Below are 27,473 nucleotides of genomic sequence, written 5' to 3'. Positions count from 1 at the left end.
GACAAAGCTGGCAGAAAGTTCTGAGCTCTCTTCTTGCCCATTCTTCTTCTAGTCTGTAGCCACACCTGAACTACATTGTCTGAGTCTACAGCTCAGGCAGAAGGTTCTCCAGCTCAGAGTTAGGCCTGGAAAAATCCAATCTCCAAGGTGACTCCAAGCCTCACCTTGCTGAGCCTTCTTAGTCTGTTCCTCGATCTGCTTCAGCCTCTCCATCAGCTCCTCCTTCTCCCGTTCAATCTTCTCTTTCTCCTTCTCTGCCATTTCACGCTTCTTCTTCTCATTTTCCAGCATAGCACTAGGGAAGGAGATAAAATGGATAGAACAGGATAACAACGCTCCACAAAAGCCTGGGGAGGCCAGGCGCGGTGGCTCACACCTGTAATCCCAGCACTTTGGGAGGCCGAGGTGGGCAGATCACGAGGTCAGGAGATCGAGACCATCCTGGCTAACACAGTGAAACCCCGTCTCTACTAAAAATACAAAAAAAATTGGCTGGGCATAGTGGCATGCGCCTGTAGTCCTAGCTACTCAGGAGGCTGAGGCAGGAGAATTGCTTGAAGACAGGAGGCGGAGGTTGCAGTGAGCTGAGATTGCGCCACTGCACTCCAGCGTGGGCAAAAGAGCAAGACTCCATCTAAAAAAAAAAAAAAAAGCCTGGGGAATTCCAAGGCTTGCTGCCTCTGGGTCTCTCAACCCAACCTTCCCAACACACTTAGGGATTGTGAGTTTGGGCCACCCTCCCTTACCTCTATACCCTTGTCCTCATATCATAGCCCCACATAGGCCAGTGTACACGGGGCCCTGTCAATGTACCCCTGAGTCAGGAATCCTAGCTCTCCCACCAACCCACTGGGTGACCTTAGCTATGTCACTGCTTTGCTCTTGTTCCCCTATCTTGAAAATGGTCCAATAAGACCTGCCCTATCCACCTTGTTAGGGAGACAAGTTTTGGCTCTGTGCTGGGATGAAGTGCTTCAAGTCTAGTAATCTCTACGGCTAGTGCATCAGTCCTCAGGTCTAACACTGCCTGCCCTAAAGCCCAGCTCTAGGCTTCTTTTTCCCAGAGTCTGTTACAAATCTGGAATAAGTATTTGCTTTTGCTTTTTCTTGCCCTAGCACCTCTTCCAGGAACCTTCTTATCTCCCTTGGCTAGGTATTCTCCATCTGGGCCCTCAGAATACTTGGCTTACCCTTCTCCCCATCCCTCTTCTATGTTTTTGTCTCCATAGCACTTCTTAACCATCTTATGTACCACATAATTTGCTTATTTATTATGTTCGTCTCCTCCCCACTAGAATGCTAGCTTCACAAAAGCAGAGATTTTTGGTCTTTTCTTATTCATTGCTCAATAAATATTTATTAAGTGAATGAATGACATGGCCTTTGTACCTTGAGTTATGTATATATTGTTTTCCCTCTCTCTGCTACTAGACTGAGTAGACTGTGAGGTCCTACAGGGCAGTTTCCTGCTAGATCCAGCTCTGTAAAAACTGCCCCTCAAACTTGGTAGATTTTTTCTGAATAAATGTGAATATTGGTGTCTAACCTCTCATCTATGAAGTCCTAGGTTGGCCTCATGTCCTGACTTAGCATGCAGGGCACCTTTGAGAAGCTTCCTTGCCCCAGCCCTGGCCCCCCACATCAGTGTGCAGCACCTACCGCTCCATCTGCTTCTGGTGCTTCTCCTCCCGGGCCTGTGCCTTCATCTGCTGCACCTCAATGGTATCAGGCTTGCGACGGCGCATGTATAGTTCATGGTTCCCCATGCACAAGGCCAAGATCCGCTTGTTAATCCGCAGCCGGGGAGCATAGAAGACGAAGTCCTGGTGGGAAATCAGCAATCAGAAAGAATTTGGAGGGACAGGTGAAGGTGATCTTCTGCCTTCTGAAAAGCTAAATCCAAAAGCACTGGAAAGAATATTTAATCTGACCTCCTGCACTACAGATGGGAAGACTAATTATCAGAGTGGTAAAGTGACTTGCCCAGGGTTAGACAGTAGACAGACCCAAGACTAGAAACCCAGGTTTCTTGACTCTGAAACCCATGTTCTTCCCATAATTTCTTTCAATCTTTGCTTATGAAACCACAATTTCTTTCAATCTTTGCTTGTGAAAGCATCCTAAATTACTCTTAATCAAGTTGAAGGATTCAAACTTTCTCTGCTAATTAGGGAACATGCTAGGTCTCAGGTGACCTCTTTTGGAAGCCAAATGACCCCTGAATAATACCCTGGTGGGTGCAGTATGGGTGGCTGGACTGTTTCTACAATCTCCTAAAAGCAAATCCTAGACCCAGCCCCTTAAATCCTTTTTGGAACAAGGCAGGCTGTAAATACATACATGAATACATAAATCTCCTGATCACTGCTTGTCCTGGTTGTTGTTTTTAAAATGAGCCCTTGATCTCAGCTGGCTTTGTTACTTAACTTTTTCTGATAATAGTTGAGCACAGCAGCAATAAAAGAAAACACACAAGAAAATCCAGTGAGTTTGAGTTTGTTACTACAAATACCACTGGACCGAAGTCACCAGCTGATGGGCACCACCATCTCCTCTGCCACTGACCACACACTGCTACTGTCTCATATAGCTTGGGGTGCAGGTATAAATCCCAGCTCTACCATTTTTAGCTGTGTGATCTTGGGCAAATCACTCCATCTCTCTAACCTCAGTTTTGTCAGCCATAAAATTAGTATGCTACTTAGTACCTACCTGACCATGTTGCTGAGGGTTTAAGGAGACAACATGTGTAAAGTCCCTAGCAGGGGAAGTTCAGGCACCTCATGGCTGGAGAAGAATCACTGAGCCTTCATGAAAAGGGTCAGGCTCAGCATTGTCACTGGGCCTTGTTGGACATGCAGTATCCCAGAAAAGGGGACACTCAGCTCAGTTTCCTAACCTACCCACAATCACCAGCTGTCTGGTCTTGTCAGCTGCAGGCTACTGAGTGGGTAAGAAGCATGGCGAGTGTGTTAGAGAAATGAATGAACTTAAAGCACTTTTTTGGTCTTGGATTGCTCTGGAGAAAAGTCTGAGAGGGCAGCAGTAAAGTTCTACCAAGAAGTCTGTAGGATCATCTTCAGATTTGGACTTTGGCCACAGCCCTTTCTCCACAATAAAAAAAAAAGAAGTCAAGGGCTGGGCATGGTGGCTCACGCCTATAATCCCAGCACTTTGGGAGGCCAAGGCAGGCAAATCACCTGAGGTCAGGAGTTCAAGACCAGCCCGGCCAACATGTTGAAGCCCTGTCTCTACTAAAACTACAAAAATTAGCCAGGCATGGTGGCATGCGCCTGTAATCCCAGCTACTCGGGAGGCTGAGGTTGTAGTGAGCCAAGATTGCACCACTGCACTCCAGCCTGGGCAACAGAGCGAGACTCCATCAAAAAAAAGAAAGAGAGAGAGAGAGAGAGGAAGGAAGGAAGGAATCAAATATGTGAACAGTGTCCACTTTCTGGGACCCAGGGGCTTGGAAATATGAGATGCATTCGGTTTCCACCCCAGAACCTCAGGGCAGCAGAGGCAATGGCTAAGAAGCAGTTCTTAACACTGCCTGTGGCTCTCCCACATCCACAGTGAGAGAGACAGGTAGCAGAGTAGAACCAGGTACAGGATGTCTGCTGGCCATTTCTTGGCATCAACATCCCCCTCCATTCCCAATCTCTATTTGTGCTTCCTGTTCGTGCACATGCGCGCACACACGTACACACAAACACATCAGAAAAGGAAGAGAAAAATAGAATAGCATGATTGCTCATTATGCAGGCCTTGGCAAGTACCTGTCTTGGTCAGAGGGAGGAATCACTCACCGGGGCTTTTTTGTCAATGGGCTTGATGACAAATTTCTTATCATTGAAAGAGATGTTCCTGATTTCACTCCAGGGGAAGCCTATCTTGGGAGTTAGTCTGTAGAAATAGAAACCAATAACATCAGGACAAGGGCAAGACAAGAAGGGTGTAGAGAACTGGGGGCTTGCCCTCACTGTCACCTCCAAGCTTCTATGTCTCTCTCTCTCTTTTTTTTTTTTTAAAATAAATAGAGACGAGGTCTCACTATGTTACCCAGGTTGGTCTTGAACTCTTGGGCTTGAGCAATCTTCCCTCCTCAGCCTCCCAAAGTGCTGGGATTACAGGCGTGAGCCACTGAGCCTGGCCAAACAAACACTTCTCTCTGGAGGAGGTAGACTCAGTGACAGCTCAGCCAGTGTCATCACACGCCACCAGGTCAGCTGCCAGCATTGAGAGTTCACTAAAGATCTCCTGATAGTACAACTAACATATGATTCCTTGTCTCAAGTTTGTTTTGTTATGTATTTGTTTGAGGCATGGAACTTGTAACAGTTCCTCAAGGGAATCCCCAGCCCTATTTAACTGAGTCTCTTCTATCCAAGCTTACAAAAGTTTGAGAGAAAGTAAATAATGAACTCCAAGATTCAGGAGTTATATGGAACAATAATTTATTGCTCTCCATCCTCACCAAGAGCACACCAAGTGAAAAATATAAGCAAGTGGGATAAGGCTACAGTGAGAGGATTATAGGCCAAAAGCCACTTAACCATCACAGGAGACTAATTACAAATGCTGATAAGATAGTCTAGGCCTGCACGATCCAATAAAAACATAATGACTGTCACATATATAATTTTAAGTTTTCTAGTAGCCACATGAAAATAAGTAAAAAGAAATGGATGTAATAAAATTATAGTAAGTTTAGTTAACCCAATATATCTAAAATATTATCATTTAAACATGTAAATAAATATTTTTTAAAATATTAAGACATTTTACGTTCTGTTTTTCACACTAAGTCTTCAAAGTCCAGTGTGTAGTTTACACTTACAGCAGCACATCTCAATTCAAAGTAGCCACATTTCAAGTGTTCAATAGCCCCATGTGGCTGGTGGCTACCATAGTTGACAGTGTGAGTCTAGTCAATACAGGATTTAGTATTGACTAAGGGAAGTTGTGAAATCATCTGGGCTGGACTAAATTAGGTAGAAAAAGAACTGAGATGGGACCCAAGAGATATGGCCCTGCTCCTTGGTGAAAAGTGAGCCCTAGATGTTAACGTGACCTAAATAAACTAAAAGAGATCTGAGATATACCTGTCATTCTGCTCATAGATGTTGAGACCCAGGGCATCCACCCCCAGCCACAGCTCTGAGCCTTTCTTGTTCTTGATGCTGAAGTAGTTCACACCATACATCTCCAGATCTTGAGCAATCTTCAGATATTCCAGGACAGCATCCTCCCTAAATGACACAGAGTTGGGGGTCACAAAGTGGGGCTTGTGAGTCAGACCCAAGGAGATAGAAAGCCTGCTTACTCTGTACTTCTGACAAGGATCTTGCTATCAGGAGTGGGAAAGGGGACAAAAGGCAAGCAGATGATGGAGAACAGAGCACAGCATGACTTTTGCAAAGCAAAATCTCCTAACAAAAACCTAGGGTCTAAGCTCCCAAGGGGAATAAAGATGGGCTGACCCTTGCTGGCCTCTGGCATGTTGGCTGCCATAGAAGCAATTTTCTTTCTCTCATTCATTGTGACAGCCTCTTATAAAGGCACATTCTTAGCAGGGCTCAGAATGTGGTGATGGCAAAATGATGATATTTGTCCTTCAACTACACAACCCTCAAAAATGCTTTGCCATGTGTAAGAGCTCCCTCCATTTCTTGATAGTCAAAACTGTTTGGGCTACCAGTTACCAGCATTCAGCAAAACAAACAAACAAGCAAACAAAAAACAGCCTTATAATGGTCCTAGTTTGCCTTCTATCGTCCCTGTTCCCTCTTTCTCCAACATCCACCAATGTCCCTTGTCATCAGTCTCTTCTCCCTAGAACGCATTCTCATTCACCCTGTAAGGGAAGTGGGGCCCACCACTGCTTGGGCAAGCTTACCTGAGCATGCCACGGTGTTCCTCATGCCACACCTGGATCCGCTCCTCCCACTGGTCCTTGTTGAGTTTGTGCTGTTCCAGGACTCTGGAAAGACAATGGGTGATGAGTAGTTTAAAGCACAAAGTCCCTGTGCAGGAGAGAAGGGAAGCCCATTTAGCTTTCTAAGGGGCTGATGCAAAGAGGATGTAGAGTCAGCCAATTGAGGTCACACTGGAAGCAGACCGAAATTATAGCAAGAAGGTGTTAAACTAGACACAAGGAATTGCCTGAAAGGTAAGAGAGCTACAAGAATGGATGATCAAAAACAACAAGGGGAACACCTTCCTTTGTACCTTCATCCACAAATCAAATGATGTGCTGTGGTCCCTAAGCATAGCAGTAATGTGTCAGGAGTTTGTGCTGACTTTAGGGGCTAACAGTAGGGATGGACCTCATGGAGTCAGGTACACTCTCTCCTAGATCCTCTTAGGACCAACACTCTATGTTTATAAGAATACTGCTCAGAAATGAAAGGATGGCCTTTGGCTACAGAGCAATGAACTGAGTCCTAATGGCTTTCAGAAAAACCAACAGGCCCAACCTCCAAGACCTACTAGATTATAAACAAGGTTTGCTTTAAACATGCCATCTCAGATATCATGGCAATGACTCAGGTAGAGTCCCCAGGGTACAAGCACTATCCCTAATATCTTATGGGTGTGTTGTACATATATGCCATAACTCCAATGGGACTGAGGCTCCCAGAATGAAGCAAAGCTTTTCCTTCTAATCCAAAAGACTATGGAAATGGCCATTGGGTATAGTAGGAAAAAACTTAGTGTTAAAATATTAAGGTGCTAAGCTTCCAGGTCTGGCTCTGGCTCTGCCTCAGATGAGCTGCACCAGATGGGGAAAGTCAGTGTGAGTACCTCTGCACCTCTATTTCCTTCGCCAGGAAATAAGGATATTGCCTGCTTTGTTCATTTTGTGTGTTATTGTGATACAAAAACAAAAATAATGAGTGTTTTAGAGCTTTTGACTTTGAAGTTTACAAAAGGGGAAAGCTCTGTACACTAGCTGTCAATATTAAAAGACTATTTGAGCTCCCCATGTCCTCGGTTTGCTTATTTCTCTCTCTCCCCTGTGAACTTCTGATATAAGAGATCTAAATCAGTAAAAAGAACTGAGAAAATGGAACCAGGGATGGGTGAAAGAAATTACTCAATCTCTGGTTCTATATAAGCACCTGCCTCCAGGGTAATAAAGTTCTGTAACCAGGTAGACAGAGGGAAAACAAAAAGGCTTTTTATTTGGAAAGCCAGAAAAACAACAACAGAGTCTGACACTATATGCAAATGTCTCTTGAGCAGCATAACACAGTCTTCAGACAGACCCCAATGGAGAAGAACAGATCTGGCATCCCTGTGAGGCAGGGATTGGTCAGCTGTGGGCTGCAGCCCCTTATGGCCAAGGCAAAGGAGGGCAGGGAACCACCTCACCTCTGCGGGAGCAACTTGTCTCCGGCCAGGTAGCCAGACTTATGCACTTCCTTATTGAAGTCGCCATACTTAGACTGGACAGCATACGAGGCCAGCAGCACAGCGGTCTCAGGCGGGCAGTAAATATCATCATTGAGAATGCCCTCTTTCACTTGCAGAAAGAACAGGCGCTGAGTGATGTCCTGAATCAATTCCTCGGACACATCCTCAGGGTAGAACTTGGCACGGAACTTAAAGAGCAGGGGGCTTTCCTTCCGCACATCCTGGGCAGTCACCTGGGAAGAGTAAGGGTTATGGACTCTCAAAAAATAGGTTTTAAGGGTAATGGAGTGGCTGTAGGGTGGGGAGAAAACACTGAAAGATCATCAATTTGCATAATCTTAGACAGCTGGGTGGCAACTCCCCTGGTAATTAAGAAAAATAATACATTACTTTCACTGGGGACTGAATCCCATGTCTGTAATCACTTTCTGTTGGGAATTTCTTCCTGAAATTACCTTAATACCGACTGATGATCAGAAATCTTCAAACCACTTTTATCTGACTATATCCAACTATCCCCAAATTCTGATAGTAGGCATAAGCTCTTCTTTTAAGCTCGTCTTATAAGTCTCCTCCAACTTCATAAATTAGCAAAGTAAGGACTAGGATATATGTCTGAGGACTGAGAACTGGCTAAACAAGAGCACAAATTAGACCATTTTTTAAAGCCTGAAATGGAATACTAGTGGCTCCACACTTGTCCAGCAAAAGACTCAACTCTTTAGGAAAACAAGACTCTACCAGCAGAAGGTGGGGTACCTACTCCCTAGACACAATCAGAGAAGCAAACTGCAGGACAGTATGGAGACTTCTAAGGACAAGGCCAGCCAGTTTGAGGATACGAAGATGGAAGGCTGCCAGGTTCCCGTGAAGATGCTGCTTGGGGTGGAGAGCTTGCATGGACTCAAACCATCCCATTTGGGGTCCAACTGAGGTAAAAGATCAAGAAAGAGGGAAACATCTATATGGGGTTCAGACATTAGTTGACTGCTGGAGAAGGTGCAGCATAAGACTGTAAGATCTTTCAGATTTTTTTTTTTCTAGTTCAAGAATCTGTGGCTCTTTTTAACAAATCCCCAGCCAAGCTCAGTAGCTCATGCCTGTAATCCCAGCACTTTGGGAGGCCGAGGCGGGCGGATCACAAGGTCAGGAGATCGAGACCATCCTGGCTAAAACGGTGAAACCCCGTCTCTACTAAAAATACAAAAAATTAGCCGGGCGTGGTGGCAGGCACCTGTAATCCCAGCTACTCGAGAGGCTGAAGCAGGAGAATGGCGTGAACCCAGGAGGCGGAGCTTGCAGTGAGCCGAGATGGCACCACTGCACTCCAGCCTGGGCGAGAGTGCGAGACTCCGTCAAAAACAAAACAAAACAAAAACAAACAAACAAAAAAAACACAAATCCCCTAAAGCCATTGAGTTTGGAGAGATGAAGGGGATACCAATCCTCTCTTGAAAAGCCACTAATGGATTTGATCCAAAACAAGTCAAAGTTCAAGCTAGTGTTCCCATTAGAAAGAAAAGAGTCTCTTCTTCTTTGAATGCTGGCCATTGTCGCTGTTAGAAGTCAAAGTAGAGACAGAGCAAGAGCTTTGCCTTGCTTGTGTCCTCGGTCCTTATTCTGATCCAAGTGGTCAACAGACCACCCAGTCACAAACACAGCCCTAGGTATCCAGGATTTGCCAACTAGCACATGGTACCCTCCCAGGAATGTTCTGGAAAAGAAAAGAATTCTAAATCCAACAGAGGAATAAGCAGTTACCTTCTTATTGAGTTTCAGCCAGGTGGAGAAACCTTTAGTGTCCTGGTACTGCAGACCAAAGAACCAAACTTCCCTCAAGCCAATAGTTTTCACCACCTAGAAGAGAAAACCAAAACAACCAACCATTGATTGAATACTTCCTCTGTGTGAGGCACAGAGGACACAAAGTTTGAAGTCAATATTATATCTGCCCTTAAAGGGTTTAAGGTGCTCAGCATCTGGCAAGAAAATATACTTGAGCAGCAATCAAGAACTGATGTCGGCATCTCTCTGCACAAAGTACTGCTGAGGCAGGAAAGGGATCTATTACTTATGAGCACTGACACATACCAAGAACCTTACATCCATCATCTCCTTTAATTTTCATAATACCCCTATGCTAGACTTACAATTAGGCCCATTTTATAGATATCAAAAATGAGGTTCAAATAAATGAAATAACTTGCCCAAGTTTCAGGTTGTGAGTGACAGAATTAGGGTTCAAACCAGGTCTGTTTGACTCCAAATCCATGCATATCCAGTGATTTCTGCCACCTCCTCCTTCCCTCTACAATGTCACACCACTTCCCACTTCCATGATGGATTAAAGGCTGAAGGTGGAGATTGTTGGATTAACTCCTGTATCTTGTTCTCTTGGGCCACTCCCATATATTGTCCTTCATCCTTAGCAACTGGGGGTAATACCCACACCCTTAAGACTGAGTTCCATTTACAATACCCCAAATAAAGAATGTTTGAGAAGATAAAACGGGGATTGTGAAGGACTCTGAAGCCATGCTGTGCCTGGGTTCTGAGAGGATTTTTTCCAACCCTGATCAGAGCCAAGTCATGATTCCTCTTACACAGGTTTAGGGTGGAAATGAGGGTAGAAATAGGGTAAGTACCTCAGTGTAGCAGCTGAGGTGCCCCCTGTTGTCCTGAGCCTCCTGGCTGAACAGTGGGCAGGAAAAGGAGGCTTGCCAAGAGAACACAGATGAGCTCTGTTCTCTAGTCCCTGACATTAGCATGTTAATAGTCTGGCCCTCAGCTCAACCCCAGCATACCCACCACTGTCGATGGCAGCAGTGAAGCTGAGCCACATCCTAATGAGGTCAGGCTGGCCTTAGGCAGTCTTTTTTATTTTGTTTTTTGGGAGAAGGATGCAAGTGGAGGGTAAGGGTAAGGTGAGAAAGAATCATAGAAATATACCTGGAGATGGAAGCAGGGAACAAGGACCCAGTTTTGCTGATGTCCTTCCCTTATGAACAAATTAATATCTCCCTTCAAAATACACACACACACATGCACACACACACTCACTCACAAAGACACACATACACACACTAACACTGTATCCACAAAGTTTCTATTATGCATCCAAAGTCAGGCCCCACAGTCACACCCAGAGTTTACAATCTAGAGCTTCAGAGACCCCAAAGAAAAAAGTAGCTCATATTTATTAAGCACCAATCATGTGTCAGGCGCTGAACAGTAAACAACCCTGTGAGATAGCAATTATACCCATATTATAGATGAGGAACTAAGGCTTAGAGAGGTAATGCATCTAAAATTACAGAGCCATATAGAACCATGATGTGTCTGACTATAGAGCTTGTACCTTTTCTTCTCTAGCATGCTATGTCCTAATGCCAAGTACTCATATGAGCTTACGACTCCTGAGCTTCTCAAGTGATTAATTGCCTTGTCTCTCCTTTGGCCCAAATTTCCCATCCAGGTAATAAACTTTGATCACTTCTGCATCGAGATATGCTTCCTGGCATTCCCACTAGACCCAAGCGACAACCACTTTGGGGAGAAGCCATGTCCCCCAAGTCATCGACCTTCATTGCTCACCAGGTCACCCTTCCCCTTCATAGCTTGGATCAAGTATCAGGAAACCTGAGCAAAATGTTCATGTCTGTCTCCAACTAGCTGTATGATATCAAGGTAGCATATTTCCTCTCTGGGCCTCGCCTTCCTTATCTATCCAAATTGGGGAGTATGGCTTCAATGATCTCTTTTTTCTCTTAAGTTCTATCATTGTACTAATTACATTACAAGGTTATTTTGCAAATGGTTAATAAAAACAATCCCATTTCCCAGCTACCTCTTGCTGATGTGGATAATTAGAAACATGTTTAGAAAAGATCAGTGGGGGTGGGAGGTAATGAGGAAAGTTCAAAAGGCTTCCAGAATTCAATGGCCAGTTGATTCCCTGACTCTAAGTCAATAGGCAGCTGGAACTGCCAGAAAGTTTCAGATGGAGAAATGTGAATGCTTATGTTGAAATGTAATATTGGCTTTTTGCAGAGGATGAAGGTAGTGGGTGGGCGTGAACAGAAAAGATTTTTTTAAAGCACCTTGTATATCATCCTAGATCTAAACAGGGCCCAAGGCCCAATTAACAGTTCTAATCATTTTCCACAGGGTTGCAGAAGAATAGTGTGTCCAGATGCAATTGGTGGGAAAAGGCAAGATCCAAGAAACAATCCAGCTGAGAGAGAGAGAAAAAAAAAGAGAGAGAGAGAGAAGACCCACTGAAGATGCTGAAGAGAAGAAGATGGACCATGAGGGCCAGGATATTAGGTCATGGGGGGAGAACAGACTTGGAACAGAAGTAGTAGAGCAGTGCTATGGTTTGGATGTGGTTTGTCCCCACCAAAACTCATGTTGATGCTTCATTGCCGGTGTGGCAGTGCTGGGAGGTAGAATCATTAAGAGGTAGTATGTAATGAGAGGTGTTTCAGTCATGGGGACCCCTGTCCCTGTGAATTACTTGACCTTTTGTCACATTATGAAACAGCACAAAGGCCCTCACCAGAGGCTGAGCAGGTGCTGGTGCCATGCTCTTGGACTTTACAGCCACTACAATTAGGAGACAAATAAGCCTCTTTTCTGTATAAAGTAACTAGCTCCAGGTATTTTATTATAAGAACATAAAATGGGCTGGGCGTGTTGGCTCACGCTTATAATCCCAGCACTTTGGGAGGCTGAGATGGGCAGATCATGAGGTCAGGAGATCGAGACCATCCTGACTAACATGGTGAAACCTGGTCTCTACTAAAAATACAAAAAAATTAGCCGGGCATGGTGGTGCGTGCCTATAGTCCCAGCTACTCGGGAGGCTGAGGCAGAAGAATAGCTTGAACCTGGGAGGTGGAGGATGCAGTGAGCTGAGATTGCACCACTGCACTCCAGTATGGGTGACAGAACAAGACACTGTCAAAAACAAACAAACAAACAAACAAACAAAAACAAAACAAAACAAACATAAAATGGACTCAGACAAGCAGCAACTGGTCTTTGCCTGTACTAACAGACTAATTGTAGAGGCTAAGAGACTCCAAGACTGAAAGGAAGTGAGGTAGGCACAGACTATGCAGCCAGTCCCAGAAATCCCAGGAGTGAGACCGTTAGCCTCTTTTTGCACCACGTTGTCTGTTTCACTATTGGGTGGGAGTAGGGGTGTGATAAGAGAAGGAGGATTAGCCAGGTGTGGTGGCTCATGCCTATAATGCCAGCACTTTGGGAGGCCAAGACAGGTGGATCACCTGAGGTCAGGAGTTCAAGACCAGCCTGACCAACATGGTGAAACCCCGTCTCTACTAAAAATAGAAAATTAGCTGGGTGTGGTGGCACATGCCTGTAATCCCAGCTACTTGGGAGACTGAGGCAGGAGAATCGCTTGAACCCAGGAAGCAGAGGTTGCAGTGAGCCGAGATCGCGCCATTGCACTCCAGCCTGGGCAACAAGAGTGAAACTCTGTCTCAAAAAAAAAAAAAAGAGAGAGAGAGAGAGAAGGATCATGGTGACTAAAGTAGTTCTGAGATCCAGAGTAACTCAGGAGAAGTTGGGCAAAGTAATACCTAAAGTGATGTCAAAAAAAAAAAAAGAGAGAATTCAGGCTCAGTGCTGGGGGGAGGGAGGGTGATCTCTCTGAGCACTGTCTCTTCCTTTGTGAACATAAAGAAATCAGAAACATAAATGTTCCACTTCCTTAGGCTCTAGGGCTTAAAGAGATGAGTAATATCTCTCAGCCTGCACTGAAGTCTCAAAGTGAGAAATTGAGGACGTGGCGGGAAGGAAATATGGTCTGAAATCAGAATTGAAACTGAAAAAGAACAAAGAACAAAAATGGATGACTCCTGACCCCAGGCTACAAGGAAATCTCTAAGGCCCATGGGGGTGCTGTGAACCATTTTATCAGGCAACTCTAAACCCCTTTTCCAAGCCAAGTTTTTCTTGCTTCCAGCTTTGCTTCCAGTTGAGACCTCCATTCCAGAGGAAAGAGAAACCTTATTTTCAAGTGAGAGCTTAGCATCTAGCTTCCAGTTCCAGGAATAACCTCTGTGGCTCCAGTGACTAGGGTCCTTATCATTCCACTCTGAGAAATGGTCCTATCCCTGAGGAAAAAGAAAATTCTTTATTGGCTCCCTTTGACCCGACAGCCAGCTTATCGGATCTGAGCCAGTATTTCTCAAAGCTCCCATGGAAAAAATCCTTAAGCAGCAGAAAATAATGAATGCATATACCCAAGGGACATAGGGGGTGTGGTAGGATGGGGTAGGGGGAGATAATAGGTAGATGGCTGTAACCCAGCTATAATTTCTTTGAAGCCTCAGGTTTAATTATTTGTGCAAATTTTATATTCTACTCCATAAATAATGAATTTTTAAAATTATTGCAAGTAAAATTAATGCTCTAGAATACTAAACCACATTCATCTCACAGCTTTGTATCCCTCCTGGAACCTGCCCCATACACCTAAAGAAAGTAGGACTTCAGTTTTTAAGACACTAGCTTAAGAAACTGGAGGTTGTGTATTCTACTCAGCTCCATGACTGTGGAGAGTTACAGGGTTCAAGCAACATAAAATGGAAAACTGAGGTGCAGTGAAAAGAAAAGATCTGCCTTGGAGTACATCCTCGTTAATTATCAGGAGCTTCTGGAAGCAAGAAAAAAAAACCCTTTACCTCCTTTTGACATGTGGAGGCAACCTACATCTGAGGTCTGTAGAGGGGAGCGGAGATCAGGTCAGCTTAGGAGCCCAGAGATTCTCTTCTTGAATCCCCCATGCATTTATCTGAGTAAACAAACTAGTGATGTCATCAGCCACTTCAAAAGCCCAGAAATTCTCTTCTTGAATCCCCCATGCATTTATCTGAGTAAACAAACTAGTGATGTCATCAGCCACTTCAAAAGCCCAGAGCATGGCCGGGCGCAGTGGCTCATCCTGTAATCCCAGCATTTTGGGAGGCTGGGGCGGGGCAGATCTTTTGAGCTCAGGAGTTCGAGACCAGCCCAGGCAACATGGTGAGACCCCATCTCTACTAAAAATACAAAAAGATAGCTGGTGTGGGCACCTGTGGTCCCAGCTACTTGGAAGGCTGAAGTGGGAGGATCACTTGAGACTGTGGGGTGCGAAGGTTGCAGTGAGATCACACCACTGCACTCCAGCCTGGGTGACGGAGCGAGACCTTGTCTCCAAACACACACACACACACACACACACACACACACACACACGAGCGTGCACGCCTAGAGGAGAATGAGGGAGTAATGCTGGAGCCACAAGAGAAGAACTGTGTGAGAAACAATGTGCAAAACTGCATCAATGCCCAAACACCTGAGACCCCCAAGATACCATTACAGATTTGGCAGCATCTGCATCAGCCACCCACCTGAAAGCAAATTATTGCACCACTGGAAAGCACCAAGATGGGCTACCACTATTGCTGTTTCTGTTATTACACATTGCCTGTGGTCAAGTGGTCACCTGCTCTATAACAGAGAACATACTCAGCTGAGGTTCTAAGTTTCTTTCTTTTATCGTTTTTTGTTTGTTTGTTTAGAGATAGGGTCTTGCTGTTAACCAAGCTGGAGTGCAGTGGTGCAATCATAGCTCACTGTAACCTTGAACTCCTGGACTCAAGTGATTCTCCAGCCCCAGCCACCCAAGTAGCTAGGACTACAGGCATGCACCACCATGCCCAGCTAATTTTTAAGTTTTTGTAGAGATGGGGTCTCGCTATGTTGCCCAGGCTGGTCTGAAGCTCCTAGCCTCAAGTGATCCTCTCACCTTGGACTCCCAAAGCACTAGGATTACAGGCATGAGCCACCATGCCCAACCTAGCTAGGGTTCTAAGTTTTGGAAGCAGGTAAAGTGGAAGAAGGTTCCAGAGGACAGTTGATCAAAAGCATTAGAAAAACTGGAAATGCTATGTGCCCTGGTTTAAGCCCCAGCTATACCACTTCCTAGCTATATGACCTTAAACAGATAATTTCACCTCTGTAAGCCTCAGTTCCTCATCTGTAAGATGGAGATCCTCCTACTATAATATATGTTAGTTATTTTATAAAATGAAAAAAAAAAAGGTTTACTGTCCTTATTGCAGAGTATTCAAGTCCTAAGTACTTTACTGAGCCAGAAGAACTTCCTGATTTCATAGCTCCCTCATCTGAACTCTCAGGGCAATGCCACCTACTTTAGTCCTTAATAAGAACCACCAATATTAGAATGCTTGGTATGCACCAGGCATTTTACTTATTTGAGGATTAAATCACAAAATCTGAGATTAGCATGATTATCATTTTACAAAGGAAAGGAAAGTACTGAGAGGCTAAATGAGCCATCCAAGGTCACACAGCGAAGTAACAGGACAGAATTTGAACTCAGGGCTGGTTCTAAATCCTATGCTTTATATATCACCCCATGGAACCTGACCTCAAGGGCGTTTATTTCTTTCTTTGTGGGTAGAGAGTTGCATGTGCCTTTCTATGCTTTTATAGGTAAGGAACTCCAAGTTCCTGAAGAACAGAGATGGTGTTCGACAGTGTAGACCTTCAGTCAATATTAAATGAATCAGTAAATAGATGAATGAATCGATGCTTTGAGATTTCACCTCTGTCCTTGAGCACAGCCCTTTAGTGGCACCTAGGTAATCCAAGATCAAAAGCTTTAGAAGTTGAAGCAAGTGACAAAATCACTATAGCAAAACATGTTCTCTCTCCCCTCTAGCTGTAGCACACTCACAAGAAGAGAGGTAAATGAGACAAACTATGAGTCCTACTTCCCTTTCCCACCAGGCCCTAGACTTCCTCAAGCTATGGCATCCCATTGTTGCCTATTATTTATTGCTGGTGCCAAGGAGTACTTCCTCTCTGGTTGGCTTCCTCTCTGGTCATTGGCCAGATGACTGCTGCGTTCCAGGATGGCCATAAAGCTTTTGCCAATTCCTGCCAAGGAGTCTAGCTCCTTCCTCCCAGGCCCAGGCTCTACCAGGAGGGCCTCCTTGAATGATGGGTCCCAAGAGCCAGACAGAACGGACTTCCTCCCTTATGCCTCATCAAGTTAGAGAGAGAAGAGCTCACATCCCCCAAATGCCTATGAACACATAACTCTACTGATTCCTGACCTGACCTGCCTTGGCCTCAAGAGGGCCAAATGCTCAATTCCTTGAGTTCAAATCTTTTTCCCTGTATTTTCTCACCTGTGGGGTCCACCTCTGTCCCTCTGACTCACAGAATGTGACTGCCCCCCTCCTTCTTATGATAGTCCTTCAGAGGTCTGAAGACAGAAAGCATATCTTCCTTGAGTCTTCTCTAAGTTGAATACTCCCAATCACCCCAAACAGAGTAGTGCAGTGCAGGAAAAGTATAGTTTTGTGATCAGAGTTGTATTCAAAATTCCATATCACAACTTACTAACTACATGACCTAGAGTATGTTCTTTCACCTCACAGAGGCAGGAGCATTGTGAGGATTAAAGCGCCTAGCCAGGAATAGGCCATAGTATGTGCTCAATAAATGATACTTCTCAAGATAACAATGATGAGAAGTCATGGACTTCTTGGTTTCCAAGTCTCCCAAAGGCTTTGTTTTGGAAGCAGTAGCATTCAGAACTAGCATACCAATCTGCCCAGGGTTCCCTACTATCTGGGGTTCCCTACTATCTGGACTTCCCTCAAATCCACACCCACAGCACACAAACCAAACCAACACTAACAAAAAACTACCAGGCATTGAGGTTTTTTGAAGTTAATAAACCTCTTTGTTCAAGAATTTTTCTGCCCCCACTAGGCTCCAAATCATGCCTTCCTCATCCTCCACAGCCATCCCCCTGCAATGCACATATACAAAGCCCCCAGTGTTGAGGGTAGAGGATGGCGTCATCTGGTTTGGGATGGGGAATTAGTAGAATCAGGGCTCTTGGAAGGAGTATAGGTAAATGTCAAAGGAGCCTCTGGCTCCCAGCTGGTCTGTAAAATCTGCACTGACTAACCGCTTCCCTCTCTAATAGCTGCTACCCAGAATGATACTGCTGTCTAAAGCAAAGGGCCCAAAAGCCTATGTGTTCTATGGACACTTCCTCCCTTTTGTCTTAGAGACAGTAAAAAGCCTGTCAAGGAAGAGATGATCCCCCTGCCAGCTAGCCCTACCTCCTCACATATGCCAGCAGCTGATCATACTCAGGTGAGGCATTTCTCTCCTTTTTACAGAAAAGGATTGTCTGAAATCCCAATACTAGGAACAGAAATGGGAGAGAAAGAGAGATGGAATGCACAAATAAATGCCAGAGATAAATTTTCTGAGAGATAACCAGATTTGAGAAACAAGTTAGGCATTGTACAGATGAGAAACTGAGGCCCAAATAAGGGAAACGTTTGTATCACAGCGAATTAGTGATAGAGCCAACCCTACAGCCCAAGATTCATGACTTTCTATCCAGGCCCTTTTGACTTCACTAGGCTGTCCCTTTAAAAGTTCTCCAATATAACCTCCATGTGAAGAGAGAATGCAAAGCACAATTATAATTAGAATGCATTTAGTCATTCCAGACTAGCACCATAATCACTTGTGAGCTATGTGAATGTAAGCACATCACTTTAATTGTAGTAAACTTGTATTTAAATATTCCTCAGACTAATTTGTATTTTCACCAATTAAGTATCAATGATTACACTTTGCCATTCAAAGTAAAACAAACACAAAACAAACTCCAGAGAAGTAAGTTCCACCTAAATCTGAAGTTAGATATTCTGAGGATCATTAAGCCCATCTCCCAATTCTCCCAATTCTAGATTATTTTTCTTTACTTTTTTTTTTTTTTTTTAGAGACAGAGTCTTGCTCTGTCACCTAGGCTGGAGTACAGTGGCGTGATCATAGCTCACTGTAACCTTGAACTCCTGGGCTTGAGCAACCCTCCTGGCACAATCTCCTGAGTAGCTGGGACTATAGGTGTGCACCACCATGCCATGCTAATTTTTAAATTTTTTGTAGAGACAGGGTCTCGCTGTGTTACCCAGGCTGGTCTCGAGCCCCTGGGCTCAAGCAATCCTCCCATCTCAGTGTTAGGATTACAGACATGAGCCACCACATCACGTCAACTCCAGCTCAATTAATAATACAAGAAGCACAATGGTATTGGAAAGGGAGCTATCATTTATTACTTCTCTACCATATGCTGGATGCTTTCTTCCAGCTAACACTTTCTTTCCTATTTGTGTTTTCTTATCTTTCTCACCTATTTCGAATTTATCTTTTTGGATTGGACATCCTTATATGCCACTATAATCAGATTTTTGAGTAACAGGTAAGATACAAAACATAACACACTCACAAAAATCCTGTGAGGTAAGTATTAGATATTTCTCGGGGGGAGGGGATGAAGATACCAACCCAGAGAGTTCAATAATTTTCCCAGGGTCTAACTAGGAAAATGAGGATTTTGTGTCCTCATCTGTAAAACATGCCCATACTAATTCATGCACTCACAGAGCTTTGTGATAGTCAAATGCTTATCATAATACTTAGCATACACTGAGTCCTGGATAAATGTTAACTCTCATCTGTATTAGCCACAGACAATAATTTTCCCACTCTATGTAATAAGAACTCAGAAGGTGTACCCAAGCTGTCCTCAAATTTCTAGCCCTCTCCTACCCCTGTCTCCATTCTACTCTTGTCTTTTCTCTCACCAGTCAGAAGTATTCACAGGAATAGAATTAGCTTATTTGAACACTACCTCCTTCTTTTTTTCTTCCTCTCTCCAACCCTGGGGAAGTTCTCATATGGTAGAAGGACACAGAGAGCAAGGAAGAAAGGGAAGCAAGAGGGCCTGGAGAATCCATCAGGGTGATATGCAGCCTAACATCCTGGACAATAACTCAGACCTCCACTTCATCGGAGTCTGGTGGAGAAATAGGATAATGGCCTGTCTGGTGAGGTCCCAGCCTCTGGAAATGGGAGCCTCATTTTTGCTCCTAGAAGTCTGGCCACAGACGGCACATTCCCTTGAATGCTAAAAATGTCTGTAGCTGCCATCTGTTTATTATAGTATACAGTACATCCTTTCTGACAATAATGATTCACAATGAAGGGACACCCCTTGGGTTGGAGATGGGAATGACCTCTTCACTATGGCGAGTAAGCAATTATCTTCATGGCATGCCTGTAGGAGATGAAGCAGCCTCCTACTGCATCCATCAACTCCCATGTTGTCCTAAGTCCCAACATTCTTTTGAGAGAAATGTGCATAGAGCTTACTACCTCAGGGAGAGTAAGTTAGTTTCCTTCTACTAGGAAGCAAAAACATGGGACAGAGGCAGTGTGGTGCAGTGGCAACAATGTGGAGTGCAAATCCCAGCCAAATATCATTTGGGTGCAATTAAGTTATTTAACTTCTGAGCCTCATCATTAAAATGGAGAAGACATCACTTACATGTTTCAGAGTTAAAAGGAAGGCTCCATATGCTAAGATTTTTAAAGCATCTAGCATAGAATATACACCATTTTCTTTTCTCCCTTATTCAGGACCAAAGATAAAATTAATCAGGACCATAGGGTGCAGGCTGCCAAAGTTTAACTTTGCCTCCTTTCATATTAAGTCTGGAATCAGCCTTCATTTTGATCTATCTTGGAGTGAACAGGAAGAGAGATTCTTTGACAAGAGGCAAAAGTCATGGATTGTTGGCATTGTGGTGGAAGCTATTCAGAGAAGGAGAGGAGGCTAAGGAGTCTCCGCCTTACCTGGTCAAATAGCTGCTTCCCGGTGGTGTTGGGCTGGATGGCAAACTCCAGCTCTGCATCCATGGTGGTCACACGCACACTGATCTAGGATGAGATCAAAGGAAGCAGGTTAGTCATCTGGCTCTGTGTTCAACAGAGCCTGAGACAAGTGTCTCTGCTCAACCACAGAGGAAGGAGTTAGGATGCTAAGAGCCTGGGCAACTTAGATACTGATGGGGATGAAGGGAGAATATTGACCCAAACACAACCCCTGCTCCCAAGCAGCTTATTGAAGACAAACAACACAGCCACAGAGCAATACTTACCAAAGAACAGACAAGCATGAAGGCCGGGTGCAATGCCTCATGCCTGTAATCCCAGCACTTTGGGAGGCCGAGGTGGGTGGATTGCTTGAGGCCAGGAGTTCGAGACCAGCCTGGGTAACATGGCAAAACCCCATCTCTACTAAAAATACAAAAATTATCCGGGCATGGTGGTGCACACCTGTAGTTCAAGCTACTTGGGAGGCTGGGGTATGAGAATCACTGGAACCCAGAAGGTAGAGGTTGCAGTGAGCCGAGATCACACCACTGCACTCCAACCTGGGCAACAGAGCGAGACTTTGTCTCAAAAAAATTTTTAAAAAAGAATGCAGATCAGCCTACAACTAAGAGCAGGCAAATGATAACTGTACTTCTTCCAGGAAGGCCTTTCCATCTATACTAGACAGCTTCATCTCACAGGGTTCTCTTCTCACCTCTGATCTACCTGGATTATCTATAGCACTGGTAAACAATTGCAGAGGCAAATTAATATCAGGACAAAGAGCACTGGGTTCCACATGATAATCTAAAGGGCAGAAAAAGCTTTCAATAAAATCTAACACCCCTTCATGTTAAAAGTTCTCAATAAACTAGGTATTGAAGGAGCATACCTCAAAATAATAAGAGCCATCTGATAAAGCCACAACCAACATCATACTGAATGCGCCAAAGCTGGAAGCATTCCCTTTTAAAACCGACACAAGACAAGAATGCCCTCTCTCACCACTCATATTCAACATAGTATTAGAAGTCCTGGCCAGAGCAATCAGACCAGAGAAAGAAATAGAGGGCAACCAAGCAAGAGGAGAGGAAGTCAAACTATCCTTGTTTGCAGATGACATGATCCTATATCTAGAAAATCCAATAGTCTCGGCCCAAAAGCTCCTTAATCTGATAAATAACTTCAGCAAAGTCTCAGTGTACAAAAATCAACATACAAAAGTCACTAGCATTCGTATACACCAACAACAGTCAAGCCAAGAGCCAAATCAGGAAGGCAATCCCATTCAGAACTGCCACAAAAGAATAAATATCTAGGAATACTGTTAACTAGGGAAGCGAAAGATCTCTACAAGAAGAACTACAAATCACTGCTCAAAGAAATCAGATATGACACAAACAAATGGAGAAACAGTCCATGCTCATGAATAGGAAGAATCAATATTGTTAAAATGGTGATACTGCCCAAAGCAATTCATAGAATAGACTCAATGCTATTCCTATCAAACTACCAATGACATTCTTCACAGAACTAGGAAAAACTATTTTAAAATTCATATGGAAACAAAAAAACAGCCTGAATAACCATGGCAATCCTAAGCAAAAAGAACAAAGCTGGAGGCATCATGCTACCCAACTTCAAATGATACTAGAGGGCTCCAGTAACCAAAACAGCATTGTACTGGTACAAAAACAGACACAGAGACCAATGGAGCAGAATAGAGAGCCCAGAAATAAGGCCACACACCTACAACCATCTGATCTTTGACAAAGTCGACAAAAACAAGCAATGGAAAAAGGACTCCCAATTCAATAAACAGTGCTGGGATAACTGGTTAGCCATATGTAGAAGATTGAAACTGGACCCCATCCTTATCTCACATATAAAAATCAACTCTATATGTATTAAAGACTTAAATGTAAAAGTAATGTAAAACTCAAAATTATAAAAACCCTCAAAGAAAACCTACGTAATACCATTCTGAACATAGGAATGGACAAAGATTTCATAACAAAGACGCCAAAAGCAATTGCAACAAAAGCAAAAATTGACAAATGAGATCTAACTAAACTAAAGAGCTTCTGCACAGCAAAAGAAACTATCGAGTTAACAGGCAACCTACGGAACCAGAGAAAATATTTGCAAACTATGCAACTTACAAAGGTCTAATATCCAGCATCTATAAGGAACTTTAACAAATTTACAAGAAAAAAAACAACCCCATTAAAATGTGAGCAAAGGATATGAAGAGACACTTTTCAAAAGAAGACATACATGTGGCCAAGAAGCATATATAAAAAATTTACATCATTAGAGAAATGCAAATCAAAACCACAATGAGATACCATCTCACACAAGTCAGAATAGCTATTATTAAAAAATCAAAAAAAAATAATAACAGATGCTAGTGAGATTGCAAAGAAAAGGGAACCTTTATACACTGTTGGTGGGAGTGTAAATTAGTTCAACCATGGTAGAAAACAGTGTGGCAATTTCTCAAAGACCTGAAAACAAAACTACCATTCAACCCAGCAATATCATTATGGGGTATATATCCAAAGGAATATAAATCATTCTATCATAAAAATACATAAACGCGCATGTGCATTGAAGCACTATTCACAATAGCAATGACATGGAATCAACCTAAATGCCAGTCAATGGTAGACTGGATAAAGAAAATGTATGTTAGTATGCAGCCATAAAAAACAACAAGATCATGTCCTTTGCAGGAACATGAATGGAGTGGAGGTCATTATCCTTAGCAAACTAATGCAGGAACAGAAAATCAAATGCCAGACTGGGCATGGTAGCTCACACCTGTAATCCCAGCACTTTGGGAGGCCAAGATGGACGCATCCCTTGAGGCCAGGAGTTCAAGACCAGCCTGGACAATATAGCGAAACCCCATCTCTACTAAAAACACAAAAATTAGCCAGGCAAGGTGGTGCACACCTGTAATCCCAGCTACTTTGGTGGCTGAGGCACGAGAATCGCTTTAACCCGGGAGGCAGAGGTTGTAGAATACCACATGTTCTCACTTATAAGTGGGAATTAAATGATGAGAACACACAGACACATAGAAGGTGGAGGGTGGGAGGAGGGAGATGATCAGGAAAAAATATTTTAATAACTAATGGGTACTAGGCTTAATACCTGGGTGATAAAATGATCTGTACAATGAACCCCCATGACATGAGTTTACCTTATGACAAACCTGCACATGTACCCCTGAACTTAAAATAAAAATTAAAAACAAAGAAGAACACTGGATTCCAAGCCTAGCATGTAGCTGGTCAAATCTACAACCTTGGATAACTCCTGTCCTTTTCCTGGGCCTTAGTTTCCCTTACCTGTGCAAAGGCAGGAATGGGATGGAGGGCAGCCAATTAAACTAGATAAATGGTCCAAAGACCATTTCAGTGCTGATGTCGGTGGTTCTATATACTGCCTTGCATTGCTAATGCTTCCTATATTTATGTCTCATTGGCTTCCTTAGGCTCAAGAGGGGAAGGGGGCCTCAGTAGAGGTGGGTATGGGTGGCATAGAGGGGCTACCAAAGCCAACTCAGTGGGAGGACAAAGGTGCAGAAACAGGCCCAGACCAAAATAAGAGACAGCCACACACATGATTTCACGGGCACTAGAAAAAATACCACCTTTACAAATAGATCCTCGAAGCTAGGTCAATGATAGCTGAAATTTCATAATTAGAGATTTAGTCCTTTGGCTGAAAACTCAGTAGTAATGGTAGCAGTAGTAATAGTAACAGGCAGCAGCTTTCCTGTATCAAGACTTGCTACTCACCAGGCACTTCATATGTACTACCTCATTTAATATCAATAATCACCCTGTGAAGTAGAGTATTATCTCCACATTGGAGATAAAGAAATAGGTATTTGTCTAAAGTCACATTGCTATTAAGCAGGGGAGACAGGGTTTGAATCCAGGTCTAAATCCAAACCTCACAATGTAAACCAATATGCTAAATTCCTCTTACAGAGTACAAAAGTCTCCCATTAAAAGAAAAAAAAGATTGATTTTTAGTTGTTAGATATTTTGCTTAAATAATGTATATAGTACAGCCACAAAATGGCTTCTTATATGGTCATACAAAATCTTTATGAAGACTATTTCATGCTCACGGAAGACACTTTAGTAATATTGAGGAAATGTAAACAGTATTTCATAGAGTCCGTGAGCTCAACTTTGTAAAATGTATACATAGAAGGATGATTGGAATCTTGTCCAAGTATTAGTCAGGCTTGGTTTTGGGGTGGTGATCTTATGGGTGCTTTCTCCTTTCTTTAAACTAAAAAAAAAAAAAAAAAATCTAATCTACATTTTCTAAGTTGGTCACATACTGCTTATAGTATTGAGGGAAAGCACTAGATATAGTATTGCCAAAGATGCAAATTTCCATGGAGTGAGTAAGACATTAAACCTTATCAGTCTTTGAACCTCTAGGACTTTCCTGAACACACGGGTCAGGAGCAGGGAAGAGGGGGCCAGGCAGCTATTTTGCCAGATAAACAATTACGATGAGGATCAGGCCCAGAAAACAACTTTGTAAATAAATCTCGCTAGGGAGCCAAGGAGGAAATCTATTTTAGGATTGACAATGGGACAGGAAAGGCCCTGAAGGCAGGAACAAGTAAGGCAAGTACCCCAGTGGGAGTAAGGCAAGGTTAGCCACTTTGATTTGGTCCTACCCTAGGCTTCCTGCCAAGTCAGTGACCCCTACAGAATGGGCCGTCATAAAGTAGGATGGGGCCATTGGACTGGAATTTGAGGGGCACCATACTATATCCAGCCTCAAATCACCCTTGAGCTGGGTCAAGGGTGACCTCAAAACACCAATGACTGAAGGGACAGGAGAGAATAGAAAGGGGGCAGTGGGCTTTTTAGAATAATAGACTTCATTCTCAACTCAAAGTTTACGTCTTACTTAGAATTACCTTTCCAGTACTCAAGATTCAATGGGTACTCATGCAAGATGTTGGCTAAATGAATGGGTACCAAACAAGGGATATTGGAGATAGATACAGCATAATATACACATACAAAGATGGGGAAATTTGACATCTTGACTTTTTTGTGCCACGAATCATTCTTGCCTGTCTAGTGAAGCCTATGGACCCCTTCTTAGAATATTTGTAAATGCATGAAATAAAGTAGATACAATATAACAAAATTATATCGAAATATTTGAAATATAAATCAAAATTTAATAATATGTGCTTATTATCATATTAAGTAATTACCGAGCACTAGGTCTTATTAGTTAGTTATTGCCACTGTAATTTCAAACGTGTATTGAGCATAAATAATATTTTGAGAAATATACAATAACTAATTGTGATATAAAAATATGTATGTTAGGGGCCGGGTATGGTGTCTCACGCCTGTAATCCCAGCACTTTGGGAGGCCAAGGCGGGCGAATTACTTGAGGTCAGGAGTTCGAGACCAGCCTGGCCAACATGGTGAAACCCCATCTCTACTAAAAATACAAAAATTAGGCCAGGCGCGGTGGCTCACGCCTGTAATCCCAGCACTTTGGGAGGCCGAGGCAGGTGGATCACCTGATGTCTGGAGTTCAAGACCAGCTGACCAACATGGTGAAACCCCACCTCTACTAAAAATACAAAAAAATTAGCTGGGCGTGGTGGAGCATGCCTATAATCCCAGCTACTTGGGAGGCTGAGGTCGGAGAATCCCTTGAACCTGGGAGGCGGAGGTTGCAGCAAGTTGACATCGCGTCATTGCACTCCAGCCTGGGCAAAAAGAGCAAAACTCCATCTCAAAAAAATAATAATAATACAAAAATTAGCCGGGCATGGTGGTGCACGCCTGTAGTCCCAGCTACTCTGGAGGCTGAGGCAGGAGAATCGCTTGAACCCAGGAGGCAGAGGCTGCAGTGAGCCAAGATCACGTCACTGCACTCCAGCCTGGGCAAAAAGAGCAAAACTCCATCTCAAAAAAATAATAATAATACAAAAATTAGCCAGGCATGGTGGTGCACGCCTGTAGTCCCAGCTACTCTGGAGGCTGAGGCAGGAGAATCGCTTGAACCCAGGAGGCAGAGGCTGCAGTGAGCCGAGATCACGTCACTGCACTCCAGCCTGGGTGACAGAGCAAGACTTCATCTAAAAAAAAAAGTACATTAGATAGTTTCTGTATAAACTTCTATTATTAAGAAACCTTAAAAAAAGGGTAGAATCCAGGAAAACACTCCACAGCCTAAGAGTTGGTAACAAGGTCATGGGTACTGCTATTATTGCTGCCTTTATTTTATTTTTATTTTTATTTTTATTTGCCTACATTATAATTGAACAAATGGCTAAATTACAAAGGAGAGGTTGGTAAAAAACAAATAAGTAATTTTCCTCCATCCAAGTTCATATATCCTTCCCACTTCAAATTCTGTCCATGGACCCCATAGAGGTCTGAGGACCCCAGGTTAAGGAGCTTCCTATAAATTCATTTCAATTCACCCAATATTAATGGAACACAATGTTTAAGGAACTATGGTTGGAACAGACCAGTAGAACCGGTCCCTGATCTCAAGGCACTTACTGAAAAACACAAAAACTAAAATGTACAAGGGAGACCCTGAAAAGTGCCATAATAGAAGAACAGAGAAAACCTTTCGTGGAAATTAGGAACCACAGTTCAAAGTAGTGTTTGCACTGATTTCCAAAGAATAAGCTGGATTGTGGAAAAGAAAGACTGTGAGGGTAGGCACAAGAGCACTCAAATGTCCCAGGTAGAGAAAACAACATGTATGATGGCCCAGAAGGAGGCAAGGATGCAGATGGTCCCTTTAGAAGTCAGTCCTACTCCAGGGTGAATGAGGCCTGCAAAGTGAAGAGAGGGCAGAGTCTAGGAAGATAAGTGGAGGGCATTGAAGGCTATGCTAGAAGGTTGGGCCTTAATCCTGTTGGCAGTGGCCAGCCAGTCTAGAGGTTCTGGGCAGGGTGGGGCACAATCAGAACCAGGCTTTTTGGAAGAAAACACCCAGGAAGGAAACTAAGGGGGGGTGGGATTCCAGGGACATATCCTAAAGCCTAGGAGTTCCCTTTAATTCACAATATTGGAAATAATTTTCAAAGGAAGCAAGCCAGTGTCTCGAACAGATCATGTCAATTGTAGGTCATGCCAATCCAGCGTCTTCAGGGCACTGATCAAGGGTGAAGCCCAGTGCTGGCCCAAAGTACGTAATCAAATATTCGTTAAACAAATATTTATTAAATAAATCAAT

General features: G+C 43.4%; 1 protein-coding gene across 6 annotated transcripts in view, besides 1 other annotated feature; it reads right to left on the bottom strand.

Annotated features, from left to right (window-relative positions):
- Positions 1 to 27,473, bottom strand: part of MSN (moesin) — a 153,555-nt gene that overhangs the window by 4,842 nt on the left and 121,240 nt on the right. For all 6 annotated transcript variants that reach the window (NM_001440778.1, XM_011530959.1, XM_047442130.1 and 3 more), the window contains 8 exons: positions 20,189 to 20,272; positions 9,181 to 9,276; positions 7,378 to 7,652; positions 5,900 to 5,983; positions 5,106 to 5,252; positions 3,810 to 3,906; positions 1,660 to 1,823; positions 165 to 295 (listed from right to left, as the gene is read on the bottom strand). In NM_001440778.1, coding sequence (NP_001427707.1) covers positions 165 to 295; positions 1,660 to 1,823; positions 3,810 to 3,906; positions 5,106 to 5,252; positions 5,900 to 5,983; positions 7,378 to 7,652; positions 9,181 to 9,276; positions 20,189 to 20,272 — 1,078 coding nt within the window. The remainder of the gene's footprint in view (positions 1 to 164; positions 296 to 1,659; positions 1,824 to 3,809; positions 3,907 to 5,105; positions 5,253 to 5,899; positions 5,984 to 7,377; positions 7,653 to 9,180; positions 9,277 to 20,188; positions 20,273 to 27,473) is intronic.
- Positions 14,009 to 14,303: a silencer, noted in NCBI's record as "tiled region #13592; HepG2 Repressive non-DNase unmatched - State 24:Quies". NCBI's record gives its function as "represses a minimal TATA promoter and a strong SV40 promoter by Sharpr-MPRA in HepG2 cells {active_cell/tissue: HepG2}" and the evidence as "EXISTENCE:reporter gene assay evidence [ECO:0000049][PMID:27701403]".

This window comes from Homo sapiens, chromosome X (genome assembly GCF_000001405.40).
Source record: "Homo sapiens chromosome X, GRCh38.p14 Primary Assembly".
NCBI lineage: Eukaryota > Metazoa > Chordata > Mammalia > Primates > Hominidae > Homo > Homo sapiens.
Note: the sequence above shows the minus strand (reverse complement) of the source record. Positions and strands in the feature narration are given on the sequence as shown.